The sequence below is a fragment of the Homo sapiens genome, chromosome 2 (assembly GCF_000001405.40).
Source record: "Homo sapiens chromosome 2, GRCh38.p14 Primary Assembly".
Classification (NCBI taxonomy): domain Eukaryota; kingdom Metazoa; phylum Chordata; class Mammalia; order Primates; family Hominidae; genus Homo; species Homo sapiens.
The window spans coordinates 189,125,089-189,140,682 of NC_000002.12; the positions used below are offsets into that span (position 1 = coordinate 189,125,089).

General features: G+C 35.4%; 1 protein-coding gene and 1 non-coding gene across 5 annotated transcripts in view; both read right to left on the bottom strand.

Annotated features, from left to right (window-relative positions):
* Positions 1-15,594, bottom strand: part of COL5A2 (collagen type V alpha 2 chain) — a 409,214-nt gene that overhangs the window by 93,191 nt on the left and 300,429 nt on the right. The gene's annotated exons all lie outside the window — the stretch shown is intronic.
* On the bottom strand, positions 7,948-8,023 carry MIR3129 (microRNA 3129). Its single transcript, NR_036076.1, has one exon. It is a non-coding gene; the product is annotated as a microRNA 3129 (primary transcript).

A 15,594-nucleotide genomic window follows, 5' to 3' on the forward strand; every position in this document is an offset into this window, starting at 1 on the left:
AACTATGGGATTTATTATGAACTCAACCAAACTTTTCATGACTGGACCATATTATCAAATGAGATGACAAGATGTGCTAGATACAAAAAGAAACTCAAGGTATGTATCCACCAATAGAAACTTCTCTGATGTTGTAGAGGTTCAACCATAAGGGAATAAGGCCATTCACAGTATCTGAATTGGTAAATAAAACAGTTAAGTAGATTTAGAGGCATTATTTTATGTCCAGCTGCATTTACCAATGACTTCCCTGGGAATTAGGAATTCTAAGGCATAGACAAAATTATTCTGCATATCCACACCAAATTGCACATACAGCAGTATTCACATACAGTTGAATCTTGAGCAACACAGGTTTGAACTGCATGGGTCCACTTATAAGGGGATTTCCTCCCACCTCTGCCACCCCTAGACAAACCCCTTCTCTTTCTCCTCCTTTTCAGCCTACTCAAAATGAAGATAATAAGAATGACTACATTTATGATGATCCACATCCACTTAATAAATCATAAATATATTTTCCCTTCCATATGATTTTCTTAAGAACATCTTCCTTTTTCTAGCTTCATTTATTGTAAGAATACAGTATATAACACAAACAACATATAAAATACATGTTAATCATCTGTTTATGTTACAGGTAAGGTTTCCAGTCAACAGTAGGCTATTAGTAGTTAATTTTGGGGGAAGTTGAAAGTTGTATGTGGATTTTCAACTGCACAGGTTATTGGCGCCCATAACCCCCATATTGTTTGAGAGACAACTGTATTCAACATGATTCTTCCTCATCTCATAAAATTAAGAGAAAGTTGCTTATTTCTTATGGGATCCAGGCTTTGGATTCCTTTAACTATAGACGGATAGGTGAAGAGTTTAGTCAAAACTTACAGGAATATGAAATCTGCAACAATAACCCTCTCCCAGCCATGACTTTATACTACTTTATACCAGCCTACATATGATAAATTACAAACTCCACTATATGTGTTCTAAAGTTTTCAGAAATTTAAAAATTGATTTTTACACAGGAACTATGTTATACTTAAATTTATTAGAGATTAATTTCACTTAACAATCATTCAGCTTGTTCATCTTAAGATTTAAATATTAGAAATGTTAGTAAAGAAAAAAACCAATATGATAAAGTAGCAAAATGCATATTACCTAAAAGTCAGTATATGTGGATTCTTTCCAATGGTAATATTTTGTGTAATGAGAAGAGTTTATGGAAAATTTCTTTAAGTTGTGATTAAACCCAAAGTAATATTTTTATTTTAAAATGTTAATATCTAGTGTTTATTACCAAAAGAAATTATTTCTTTTTCTTAAAGTTATTAAAAATAAGTTTTTTTATTTCTTTTCATAGTGCTAAACAAGAATGAATTTCAAGAAAAGTGACAAGGCACTTAGAGCACATCAAGTGGAACATTCTGCAGAATTTCTTAAGAGGAAAGAGGAAATCAGCTCTTTGGCTTCTAAAACTCAGGAAGAATAAATTAGGCTTTTTAGTAAAGCATGTAAGTCAAATTTAATTTCCCCTACAGAGGTAGCATTATAATAATAAAATGCATTCCAAACCAAGGGACTAATAACAGCATAACAAAAATGGCCACATTTAGTAAATGAAATATATGCAGTCCAGTGTGCCATGTAGGGGATTTGAAGTAGTCTTGGCAGGGTGAGGAAACAGACTTGGGTCTCCAAAGAAATATCCACAGAAATACTGCACTGCATGGAATGCTAAGGCCATGAGCAGAGACAATAGTTTTCCACCCAACAAATACTGAGTACCTATTATGTGCCATTTCTTCTTTAGGTGCCAAAACTGAACAAAACAAAAGAAATCCCTCTAACTCCAAGTAGCTATATCCTAATTAGGAAGACAATCAGATAACCAAGGAACTAAAGTGCAAAACGATAAGCAACTTACAGAAATAAATTCAGAGTGCTTAGGGAGTGTGTACAAGCATTGCTTAGCCATTGTAGGGGGATTGGGATACCTTTTCTTGTGGAAGTGATGTATGAACTGAGAATTGAGAAAGAAGTAGAATTTATCCAGAAACGATTTGTAATTCAATACAGTTAAAAGGCAGGGAAAGAGAAGAGACAAAAAAAAGGAAAGCAAAATTGAGTGGTTAAAAAGGGACAGGGTTGGAAAAAATGGCAGCATCAGGTGTCTGGACCACAGATTTCTGATGGCCTTCAGTCTTCTTTCTTTGGCTTCATCTTCAGAGTGAGTAGGATTTTGCCAACCCAAATCAAAAGAATGAGAAGAAATGGAGGAAGAGAAAGCAAATTTGCAGCTCTAACTAATAGCCTTTCAGATGTATTTTGGCTCTTAATCTACTCACTGGAAACCCTTAAGAGGCAAAACGATGCAGGAGGAATGGAAATTGAGTAGTTCAGAAAACCTAGGCTTTTTTATTTATTTTACTTTTTCACACCAACACTGAAAACTACTTGCTATGTAACACTTGACAAATTACAATTTCTTTGATTGTCATGTATTTTCACCTAAAAAATAGGGATAATATACCCCCTTCCCAAGGTTGTTCTGAGAATCAAATAGATGTGAGAGTGCTTTGAAAAATAAGTATGTGTTATTTAGACACAAACCATTATTATTTAGCACAGAGGTTCCCAGATTTCTCTTGCCTGATTCAAATCCATTTACATGTGTATCAAATGTAGAGTCATGCTCACCTGTCTCCTCCTTATAGGGCCTATCAGAATCTGGAGTAGGATGCAGCAGGAGAGAAAAATCTACATTATATTGACAAAAATCCATTTATATAAGGCTATGATCACAGTGAAGGAGTGCTGCTTCTTCCACAAAACGCCCTGAGGTCAAGTCTGTCTATATAAATAAGGTCATAAAACAGAAGTGCACTCAGATTTCAAGAACAGAAATGGTAAGTGTAGGAAAGAGGGCAAGATAAATTTTTCTGAGTAAGCATATAATACTGCACAAATCCACTGCAGCAATTAGTTGAGCCTATTAATGCCACAGTACCTGATGTAGCTGCCCACAGCAATACACCTGTATTTAATGGAATCACAGCTGGAAGGCTTTTGAAGCTAATTATAAGGCACCTTGACAAGAGGCATTTTAAGCCATTGAAGTATGTTTTGTGACTTCTGCCAATATAACCCATACATACCTTGCTAGTTATGTTTGTAAAAAGTAGGTGGTATTTTGCTTGCAGAATTGGGAGGCAAATCCCAGTAATTATCTTTCCAAGCCATCCAAAGCTTCAGGTTATTTTTGTAACCATATATTTATGATCTTTCAGCTCTTCTGTAATTCAAATATTTTATCCAAAATCAGTTTCATAAAAATTATATGTAGTTTGTGATTTTAAATGCTGTGTATCCCTCATATTGAAGAGTTTGTTGTTTTTTGTTTTTTTCTTTTTAATTTCAGCCTTGATTTTCTTTTAAGTTGGTGCTCCTCAAACCTGGCTTTGCATCAGAATCGCTCAGAGAATTTTTTAAAATACTGATTCCTAGGCCCTACTTCTAGTGACTCTGATTTTGTTTTGAAACTGGAAACTTGTATTTTTTAGAAGCATCTCTAGTATTTTGATGCCAGATTCAGAAATAATTACTATCGTCCTCACAATAAGCATTCCAATGATGTGCAACAAGAAAACTGTTGTTCTTTAGAATGATCATTCCCAATTAGGCACCTTTCCTTCCTTACGTCCAGCTGTTAGAGAAGACTATATCTTCTGCTTCTTCCTTATAATAACAGAGAAAAGCTAAATGGGGCACTTGCGTCCTTAGGAAAGTTTATCACCGAAAACTATCATAAACCTGAAATCTCTCTCAATAATCATCTGTTGTAAGGCAAAAACCCTCTTGAATTAAAATTGCTTTAATCAATTAGGACTCTGGTATTTCGGTAACAAATCTCCATGGAAAAAAGTCTCTGATTTAGATTAGTAAAGTGAGATTCTGGTGTGAATATAAGAAGTCTCAAAGTTCTCCCAGATTCCATTTGTGCCTTTATGGTCCCCTGGTGAGTTTTATCACTGGGTAGAATTCACAAACCAAAAATAAAAAAAAAAAGAAAAACATTTCACACGGGGAACTTAACAAGAAAAAACAACTACCTTATAGAAAACAGATGGCTAGCGATACTAAAGCCGAAAGGCTGTCAGCTGTGTCTTCAGCCTGTTTTTCTATGCTTTTATAAATTGGCAGGAAAAACTCCTTACATTTCACTAAAAGGGGCCCAGCCCATAAATGATTTGCTAAAGAAATCTGAAAATCCATGTTTTTCAATATGAAATATGTAAAATGTTTGAAAACTGATTTTTCAATGAGGATTTTTCAAGCTTCTATTTTGAGAGATGATTCTGGGACATTCCTTGAATTATTCAGAAATGAAGAGAAAATGGTGTAAATAAAATAATAATTTTATGTCAAATTTCCTTTTTTCTCATCTTTTAAAATCTCTCTTTTACGTGCAAAAGCTACTAGGTACTAGGTGACATTTACTTTTGTAAATCACCTATTTGATTTCAAAAGGGACAAGTTATAGTGTATGATTTAGGAAATCATTTTCAAATTAGGAATTGAAGAGCAACTTATCTGTATCATACATCCATTTAAACTTCATCCATGTTAAGATTTAGGGGAAGAGGTTGGATTATAATTCAGCCATTTACCAAATACACATATTATGCAGCTACATTAAAGACTGTGTGGTGGGAGGTTTACCGTAATATAAAGTTTATGCCCTCATGTGGCTTACACTTGTTTGAAATTGTGCTCTCTTAATGGTTCTGCCTGCAGCAGTTATAAATTATATGAGCATATGTGACCTTGAAGCAAAGGAAGATGAAATAAATTAATAGTTAGCTAAAAATGTCTGTATTGTGATATTCTAGAAATCTTTTTGGCCATAGAACTAAAATCTTTTTCCCTCCTTATATTCCTTCAGTTTGATTCAACAAAAATGCGTTTTCTGTCTTCTCCATGCCAGACACTGCCCTGGATTGTGGTGATAGGGCAACGGACAAACACATTCCTGAATACTTTTATTTCTGAAAGAAACAGTCTTGTCTAATTTCACATGAGAATTTTCCTTCCTTTAGTAATTTGTGGGAAGATGGAAGTATTTTGTGGTTAGAACCTATGAGTATGCTTTTAGACTATTTACTCCAAATCCTTTTAGTCACTGAGATATTTTAAGAGGTGAGTCTATGAAATAGACTTCTAGAAGTAAGTGTCAGGATTTGAGTTTTGATATACAGCCTCTTTACAAATTTATTTACTGATTTATTTAACAATGATTTTTGAGCACCTAATATGTGCTCAATTTAAAAGGGCATTTACTTGTAAAGACACTCATCATATTTATTCCTAATTTTTGCTTTAATAGCTAGGCTACTCTCCACTGAAGCAGGGTATCTATGTGTTGTTCATAGCTGTACCCCTTACACCTAGCAAGGGATCTAGGACATAGTGGGTCTTCACTGTAGCCACATGAACTAAAAGGGAAATGAGGAAATAAAATCAGAGTATTGCCACCATATTTAAATAGCCACCTTGGCTCTGAAAAGATTTCAAACAGATCTAGCTAGCATCTAGTATCTCTTCTACACAGATAAGTTTCCATTCCATTTTACAAATGAAATATTAGAGTATAAACCAGTCTACAAACCTACCTTTTACACAAGTGCCTGTGAAAAATTTAGTTTATAAAGCCCAAGTCACATCACAAATGCTTAATATATTTATTTTTATTTATTCAACACATTATTGACTACCTTCTATATCTTAGGCACCATATCAATGTTAGAAATATAAGTGTTAACAGACAGAAAAGATTTAGTCCTTAAAGAGCTTATACTCTAGTGGAAAGAAACAGGAAATAAGCAAATATTATACTTACTAACCATACAATATGTCTAGTAGCAAGAAGTGTTACCAAAAATTCAGCAAGGTAAAGACAAAGAGCTCCAGGAGAAAAGTGAATTGAGAGGAGAGCGGGGACTGAGCTTAATTTTGAATAATCAGGGACAAGCTCACAAATAAAGTAGAATTTGAGCAGAGACCTGAGGGAAATAACATAGTATTTTCAAATGACGATTCTTATTGGAATAAATGTCATCTTTAAGTCCTGTCATCATAAAAAGTGGTATCAAGTTCTTTCTTGGGTTACCGGAAATAACTTTGACAGCTAAGTGAATTGTAAAGTTCATAAAATGGAACAATAAGTTTCTTTGCCTAGGTAATTTCCCAGCAAATAAAATGCAAAGCATCAAAAAGGTTTTTTTCTTCTTAAACTGCTCAAGCCATTGTAAAAATTTCACGAAAATATGAAATTCGCTGAGAAAATTTAACATTTGTTTAATTTCTTGGGTGAAAAAAATGTCTTAATGAATTAGATAGTCTTAAGAGACCACAGACAATCAGGATATGTTATTGGACAAAAAATTTAGGGTCCAAGGTTTACTTTGAGATGCCATTGGACATTGAAAATCTCTTTGAGCAAAAACAGCAACTAGGCCTGGAGCTCAATAACAGCTCTGTCTGGACCCGAAGGAGGGAAAATATGTGATAATTTTTTGTGTAATTAGGCTTCAGGAAAACACATTGATGGTACCCTAATGAAATATGCATTAAAAAACTGAATTGTTGAAAAGAACAAATATATCAAGTATGATTCAATTAGTTTTAGAGTTCCTCTAAGAGAATTTCTTCATCCATATACATAATTTTTAGCTAAATTTACCTCTCATACTTGTTAAAACAAATTAGAGGAGAAAAAGAAATTATACGTGTAAATTAGTAATTATGTATTTCTCATAAGAATACCTAAATATTTCAAACAAGGCAATTCTATGTAATATAATTGATAAAATGTGAATACTGAACTTTGGGTTAATTCAGAGGCTGACAGATTTTGATTATAAGGTATCTATTAATTCATCCACTGAGGTTCATATTTTGATTGTCTTGTATTAAAATGTCTGTTCTTTGAAAAAATAAGTCATTGAGTTGTATGGACATGTAATTAAACATAGTCATGGCAAAGTTCTCTGACCTCAAGTGGCCAGAATAGCCACGTTTTGCATCTATTTTTATGATACGTAATCATGGTCTGGTTTTTAGAGACATAAGTAGAAGTTTCCTACCACATCAACATTCCTAAATAACAGTATCATTTTGGTACAGACAACTTCAGAAAATCAGAGAAGAAAAAAGGGAACTTGTTTTTGGAAAGGTTACAAACCTGATTTTACGTTTTTCTTTTAATTTCTGTTAAAACAGAGGAAATGAACTTTGTGTATTTAAGGGAGCTGCATAGACTTATTAGTCCTGGCTGCAGATATTAAGTAAAAACTATCTTAACTTTATAATAATTTGAATGTACTTTTATTTAAGTCAAGTATCTTTAATATCTTTGGAAAAGAAGAATAGTATTGAAAAACAATGAGTGAAATTCAAATAACCAAATCACAATGTATAAGAAAAAAAGATGCATTCAATGTAGTTTTTAACAATTCATCTCATTTATTGTCAAAATTAATAAAACAGGCTGGGTTCAGTAGCTTACGCCTGTAATCCCAGCACTTTGGAAAGCCGAGGTGGGTGGATCACTCAAGGTCAGGAGTTTGAGACCAGCCTGGCCAACATGGTGAAACCCCGTCTCTACTAAAAATACAAAAATTATCTGGGTGTGGTAGTGCACACCTGTTGTCCCAGCTACTCGGGAGGCTGAGGCAGGAGAATCGCTTGAATCCAGGAGGCAGAGATTGCAGCGAGCTGAGATCGCACCACTGCACTCCAGCCTGGATAACAGAGCAAGACTCCATCTCAAAAAAAAAATTAATAAAACAATATTAATTGAGTGTTCCCTGGCTGAGTGTTCTGGAAATAACAGTTGGGGAGATATAAGCAATTTCTCAGAGATAAAGAAGTTGAATATAGAATGCTCTTGGGCAGCAGTGTAGAGATTAGTTTGAATTCATTAACAGGCAAACCAATCTCTACACTACTGCCCAAGTACGACTTTTTTTTTTTTTTTTTTTTTTTTTGAGACCGAGTCTTGCTCTGTCGGCAGGCTGGAATGCAGTGGCGCAATCTCGGCTCGCTGCAACCTCCACCTCCCGGGTTCAAGTGATTCTCCTGCCTCAGCCTCTCGAGTAGCTGGGACTACACCACCTGCCACCACGCCTGGCTAATTTTTTGTATTTTTAGTAGAGACGGGGTTTCACCATGTTGGCCAGGATGATCTCGATCTCTTGACTGCGTAATCCACCCACCGCGGCCCCCCAACAAGTGCTGGGATTACAAGCGTGAGCCACCACACCCAGCCTATTCAACTTCTTTATGAAAGAAAGAACTTCTTGTGGAATACATGCCAGAGGGTGTTGGCTGCCTTTAATCAGACATCTTGAACATCAACTAACAGCATTGCATTTACTTGGTTGATAGTGATAGGGATGGCATGAAGTCTTTTCCTTTGTTGAGCTGCGAAATGGAAAAAGGAAGACTGAATCTTCTGAGACAACGGAATGAACTAAGAGCGTCAGGCAGCAGGGAAAGATTCCATGCAGCAAGCCAGTTAGGTGTTCATTACTCTGGGCCTAATGTAAATTGAGAAGGGTCCATCCTTACGACAGAGGGGAAGCTAGAAAAAGAAGCTAGAGAGACCACTTCACCAACCAAGTGTTAATGACAGAATCAGAGGAGTTCAGAAGTTATGTTTCACACAAGAAAAAGATTTTTAAAGCACCATATCCTGCTCTGAATGACTATTTTAGTTTTCCTTCAGGTGTTTATTTCTGAGTGAAGGATTGGGAAGACATACATGAAATCGCTGCCACACCCTCTGCTTGAAAATGACCATGCAGTCCAGGGAGGACACAGCCATACAGAATTGCTTGACCCTTTATGAAAGCTCTTCTTTCACCAACAAAAAAGAAAAAAATACTAAAAATGATATGCTGATTGATTTCTTTGGAATCAATACAGGTTGTTAGATCTGTCATCCTCTTCATCCCACTCTGAGAGTTATTGGTATACTTGCCCTCCATTCTGTATTAAAGCCAGTCATGCAGAACCTTATGCATTCTCACCAGCCAGCTGGCCTTTACAGAGTTAGTTATAATCTAAGCCTGAAAATTCCTCTAAGGTAGTTGGCAATATAAATATAACCTTTTGGCAATTTGCTAGACTCTATTTTTAAAGTACATCATTATCAGCTGGATGTGGTGGCTCACACCTGTAATCCCAGCACTTTGGGAGGCCAAGGCAGGTGGATCACCTGAGGTCAGGAGTTCCAGACCAGCCTAGCCAAATGGCGAAACCCCGTCTCCACTAAAAATACAAAAATTAGCCAGGTGTGGTGGCACGTGCCTGTAATCCCAGCTACTCGGGAGGCTGAGGTAGGAGAATCGCTTGAACTCGGATGGCGGAGGTTGCAGTGAGTCAAGATTGCGCCACTGCACTCCAGCCTGGGAAATAGAGTGAGACTCCATCTCAGAAATAAATTTTAGAAAGTACATCATTGTCAACAGTTTTGCATAAAGCAAATTCAAAATTGATGAACTCATAGAATAAAAAAATCCTACATGAAAATGCCTTCCTGGAATTTGAGGGTCAGCAAACAACAAACCAAGGGCAAATTTCAGGAAAATGAAACAAGTTATGTCATAAATGCCATTCAAAAGAGTTGCACATACATCTCTTAAGCTTGGCTAAAATCAGGAAAATAGGGTGGACAATCAGTTTTTATTATTTAGAAAATGAAATTTCTTCTAATCCCAATTAATTTTTCATTAGTAACAACATTAGCTTCTGCATGCCTTATTAACCACATGAAATTAGTACAGACTGAGAAGTTATACAAGGCATTAATTTTAAAGTTTTGAAAAGTTATCTTGCCTTTAAGGATAGTATTCATATCTCCAGCTCATAACGTTGGGTTGGCTGGACTACATATAACATATGTAATAAATCTTCAATTCAAGTCACAACTTTTCTTCTTGTTATCTTTCTATTCCTATTTTCCATTTCAGCTTACATCATGGCTGTAGTCAAATAATAAAAAATGACTGGCTTAATTTAAAACCATATACATTCTAATTCAAAACAACCAAATTATAAAAACAGAACCTACCACAGATGCTCATGGATTACTGGACTATTACCTCAACCCTATTAGCAACTTTTTTCTTCCTAACCTGGATATTTAAGTAATACATAATTTATAATGGAGATATTTTATGAGAAAATATTGCCACACAGTCAGTTGTGAGTTATTAAGAGTAACACATGGGCTTTGAACGCTCTATGAATCTGCAGAGTACATATCTGGTAAAAGAAATACTGCCTAAGCTTGAAAATGAAGTACTGCAATGATTTCTGACAAATCCTACTTCTCTGTGTCATAAATATTGGTTACAAACAGTGAACTGAAGAACAAAAGATAATACTCCACATGGCAGTTTATCATTCATAATCCGTAGGCTAATGTCTTTCAATTGTTTTGGCTTCAAGTAGTTGCAAACACTATGCTTATATCTACACATTTAGGAAATCTCCAGATTAATGAAAAAGAACACATATTTTATAAGAGATATTAAAAGATCATTCAGTTTAAAAGGATTTTGTTTAAATTGGTAGTAGCTATAATAGTGGTAATAGGAGAGGCAGCAATAGAAGCTTACATTCATTGAATACTTAATATGTGCTATATATTGTCCTAACTGTTTTATATTCTTGATCTCACTTAATCCTCAATAAACAGTATCATTCCCATGAGGCAACCAACAGTAGCTCACAGCAACTCCCATCCCTCATAAGTGATAGGCCCTGGATTTGAAACAAGAGAGTGTTATTGCAGGTGTAAACCTTTCATCAGTAAGGAGGATCAGCAGAGAAAGAGGTCCACCAGTCACATTTATTCCCTGGATGGGCTATGTTCAGGGAGGTGTTAGAATAAAATGATTGCGAGTGGGATGGGACTTACTGAGCTAGGCCTGACTAAAGCTCTGTTTTCTCAGCACTGAAAGTGCAGAAACTTAATAGTTAAGTCACCTTGTATTTATCAGATTAATTTTTAATGCTAATCTATGCTACACATGTTCATAGGAAATTAATTTGTGTATAAAAAGACAACATATTATTCTGCAAACCAGAAAGTTTCCAGTGAGCTAATCAGCATCTTCTAATGAAAACCTTACTGCTATGTACACAAAAATACCTGAGTACAAATTTACATGTATATAAATACATATTTATATATATGCTTATATATGTATATACTTATATATATGTAAAAGCTTCATATGTGTGTATTGAGGATATAGATATTTTCTTTTACACAGGTGTGGTTACACAGGTTAACTAGGAGGTAGTTATATATACACTCACATTTGGCATCTGTATATTTTTTCTTTTTTATAAATATATATGTATATAAAAATATCATACATGTATAACAATGGAGAAATCTTGTGTTTGTATGTTTACACAGACAGACATAAACACTATGAAATTTTATGATGCTAACAATAATACAATGATATGGAGAGTGGGGAAAAGAGATAGTCAAATTTCCAAACCTGATCTTTCTATACTTTTTAATGTTATATTTTATAATAGTTATTATATTTTATCTTACATTTATTTTTAATACTTGGAATTAGACCTAAATTCAACCTTATTCAAGTAATCACACTGCTTTTTTCCATTTTCTTGCCACAAGTACATTGTCTTGCCAAATATATTTAGTTTGGTTCAGTTAGTAAAACATGGCAAGCTATAAACTTGCTTCACTTTCAGCTACTTACAATCTGAACTTTATTTTCATTTTAACTGCTGATGGCCCAAACTTTTTATTGTCTGATAATATTCATCATTTTGAAAAATAGAAGCCAAATGTCAAATAAAATGCTGAATCTAAATTCCATCTCTTTAGTGTAGTAGAAATCTATATTATAGGTTCTATAATTACAATTATTAATCTACAGTTAACAAATGTTTTCTTCGTTCGTGTTTATTCTGAATAAAACTAACTGGACCAATCTCTTCAAGCAAAAACACAAACATAATACATTAAATATAGCAATAGAATGTGATTTATGGATCTTGAGTGAATTATCATTGGTCTTTTATAGGAAATGACAAGAGGTATAAAATTATCACAGAAAATGAAGTCCTACTCTTACATGAGAGATGTCTTCTGAAGTTTTGAAATCTAATAATAACATATATATCAAGGCCACGCCTAAATCCAAATTCTGTATTGGCTCATGTTACTTGATGAAGTCATTTTGTACAAGTAGCAAGAAGGAAGACTTATGTTCTGATCACTATTGAAGAACACAGGATTAGAGAAATCCAAATTTGGTGAGCTGGGTTGATTTTGTACTGAAATTTTAAGTAATATTCTTTTGATGTAGTCACACATTGTGTATTAAACAAAAAATGATACTTTTCACTTAGAGGAAAATGCTTTTTCTTATCTTATTAATTTGTTAGCCATGGATCCAGGAAATATTTTCCTTTCTCCTCTACAATAGAAAAAACAGCAGCACATGGACTAGAACCTGAGCTAGCTTCTAACTGTGCAGAAGACAGTGAGTTGGGGGCGGGGGATGGGTAGATGGGCTGTTGAACTGGGGCTTGTGCAATACTCATGAAGGCTTGAACCACCATTCAGCACAAGGTGATGGGTGCATAAATGATGTGTGCCTAGGATTTCTCAGACCTGGCAAATTTTAAAGAGAAGATAGAAATCAATATTTGTGTTTGACATCTCTCAATTGTTTGATGTTAATGATGTAATTCTAATAGTTTTTCAAAGCACTGTTTGAGCCCAGGAAAATATCTGTGTGGGCCTAATCCAGTTGAGGACTCCAGGTTTAGGATATACATATATAAAATGGAGTCTTGCTCAGTCACCCAGGCTGGAGTGCAGTGGCATGATGTCGGCTCACTGCAACCTCTGCCTCCCAGGTTCAAGCAATTCTCCTGCCTCAGCCTCCTGAGTAGCTGGGATTACAGGTGCATGCCACAATGCCCAGCTAATTTTTGTATTTTTTAGTAGAGACAGGGTTGCACCATGTTGGCCAGGCTGATCTCGAACTCCTGACCTTGTGATCCACCCTCCTCGGCCTCCCAAAGTGCTGGGATTACAGGTGTGAGCCAATGCACCCGGCCCGGTATATTTTTAAGGTATTATTTCCAGCCTCTGTCTAGCTCTACCCTTATCTTACTTATTAATATGTCTTGATTTGCTTCTGTTTATATATCACATATAGGAAAAATCTGAGAAGAAATGCTCAGATTTCTTCTCAGGCGATTCTACTGTCTCTGCTTCCAAATATTAACTCATACATGCTTAATTGAAATATATATAGATATTTGTATATACAACTATTAGTACACACATATATATTTCCTTGCTCTGTCAGCTGACAGAACACAGAAGCAACAACTCCCAAGTAGCAATGAACACACCTAGGTCCCAGATTGTGGTTTCTGATAGCATTCTCCAATATAAGGAACAAGAGCTCTTTGAATAAACAGCTGATTCTAGGACTGGGCCAATAAATATACAAAACGAACCTAGAACATCTTATAGTAACCGAAAGTAAAAAAGTACATACACACAAAAAAGCCCACATGATGGGGATATATCAAAGGGACACAGAATACAACTGAAAGACTTTCCAGTGGCCAAAACTGAAACAGTTTGACAAATAAAATAAGCAAAGTAGCATTCAAATATCACCAAAAATGTAAAATAAATATCTATGAGTCCATACCGATGTAAATACATACAAAATATAAAATAGAATAGGACAAATCTCCTATGCAGAATTGCAAATGATTTATGTAGCTACCCCACCCTTTAAAAGTTGAAGAGTAAGTCTCCACTCCTTAAGTAAGAACTGTATGTACATAGTGGCTTCCTTCCAAAGGGTACAGAATGGAAAAGGGAGGAAACAGCAAATTTACAGTGAAGACACAGGACAAATACCACCCCAGACAGGTGATCAAATTTAACACCAGGCTTGGCGCGGTGGCTCACGTCTGTAATCCCAGCACTTTGGGAGGCCGAGGCAGGAGAATCACTTGAACCCAGGAGGCAGAGTTTGCAGGGAGCTGAGATCACGCCATTGCACTCCAGCCTGGGCAACAAGAGTGAAACTCCCTCTCAAAAATAAATAAATTAATTAATTATTAAAGTTTAATATCAGTAATAATAATTCATGTTGATAGTTGAGAATGGCACTTTACCTCCTCCCAACACCCAGAACTCCAGTCTAATCATGAAAACAAAAATCATACACATCCTAATTGAGGGACATGGTACAAAATATCAGGCCAGTACTCCTGAAAAATCGTCAAAATCCTAAAAAACAAGGAATGTCTGGAAACTGTCATAGCCAAAAGGAGCCTAAGGAGACATGCAACTAAATGTAATATGGGATCCTGTGAGGGATCCTGGAACAGAAAGAGGTCATTAGACAAAAACTAAGAAAATCTAACTAAAGTATGACTCTAGTTAATAGTAAAATATCAATATTGGCTTATTCGTTGTGAATGTAAGATGTTAAGAAGAGGGAAAATTGGGTCTAGATTATTTGAGAACCCTTTGTACTATCGGTACAATTATTTTGTAAATTTAAAACTTCTAAAATTAGAAAGTATATTTTAAAAGTGACCAGATGTTGGCTGGGTGCAGTGGCTCACGCCTGTAACCCCAACACTTTGGGAAGCCAAGGCAGGCAGATCACGAGGTCAGGAATTCGAGACTAGCCTGGCCAATATGGTGGCACCCCGTCTCTACTAAAAATACAAAAATTAGCTGGGCATGGTGGCGCGCACCTGTAGTCCCAGCTGCTCAGGAGGCTGAGGCAGAAGAATCACTTGAATCCAGGAGACAGAGGTTGCAGTGAGCCAAGATGGCGCCGCTGCACTCCAGTCTGGGCGACACAGAGAGACTCTATCTCAAAAAAATAAAAAAATAAAAAAGTGACCAGATGTTAAATCATGTCCAAAATACAATTGGTTAGCATTTCTATAATTCTCCAGTTATAAACATCAAGAATAAAAATAAGAATCAAAGTGTAAAATATGTATTTATACCAAAATAATCACACTTTAACATATGTACATACATGATACGATACCATATAGGGCAGAAAATAAAACTAATATTTTCCAGCAATTGTAAACAGAAAAAACATGCCCAGGGCCTCAATGAAGAACACAGCCCTCTGATTCTACATTGCCTTTTTCCCTTTATCTTGTCTTAAGCAGATTAGAGGACTCTTCTGAATATTAATACATTTTAAACCTGGAGGCACATTTGGCATTATATTATAAAACAAAGATATGTTTATAGACCAGAAATTTAAACAAAGAGACACCACTGTGCTTCAACAAAGCTTATAATAAAAATACAGAAAAATCTATGTATGTATATGCACATATATATATAGAAAGGAAGAAAGAGAATAGGGAAGTTGATCTTTATTCAAAATGTACAAAGCTATAGTTACAGCTTTACATTTCCTTACTATTTCCCTTTTAGGTTATTATCTGTATCCCCTCCCCTTC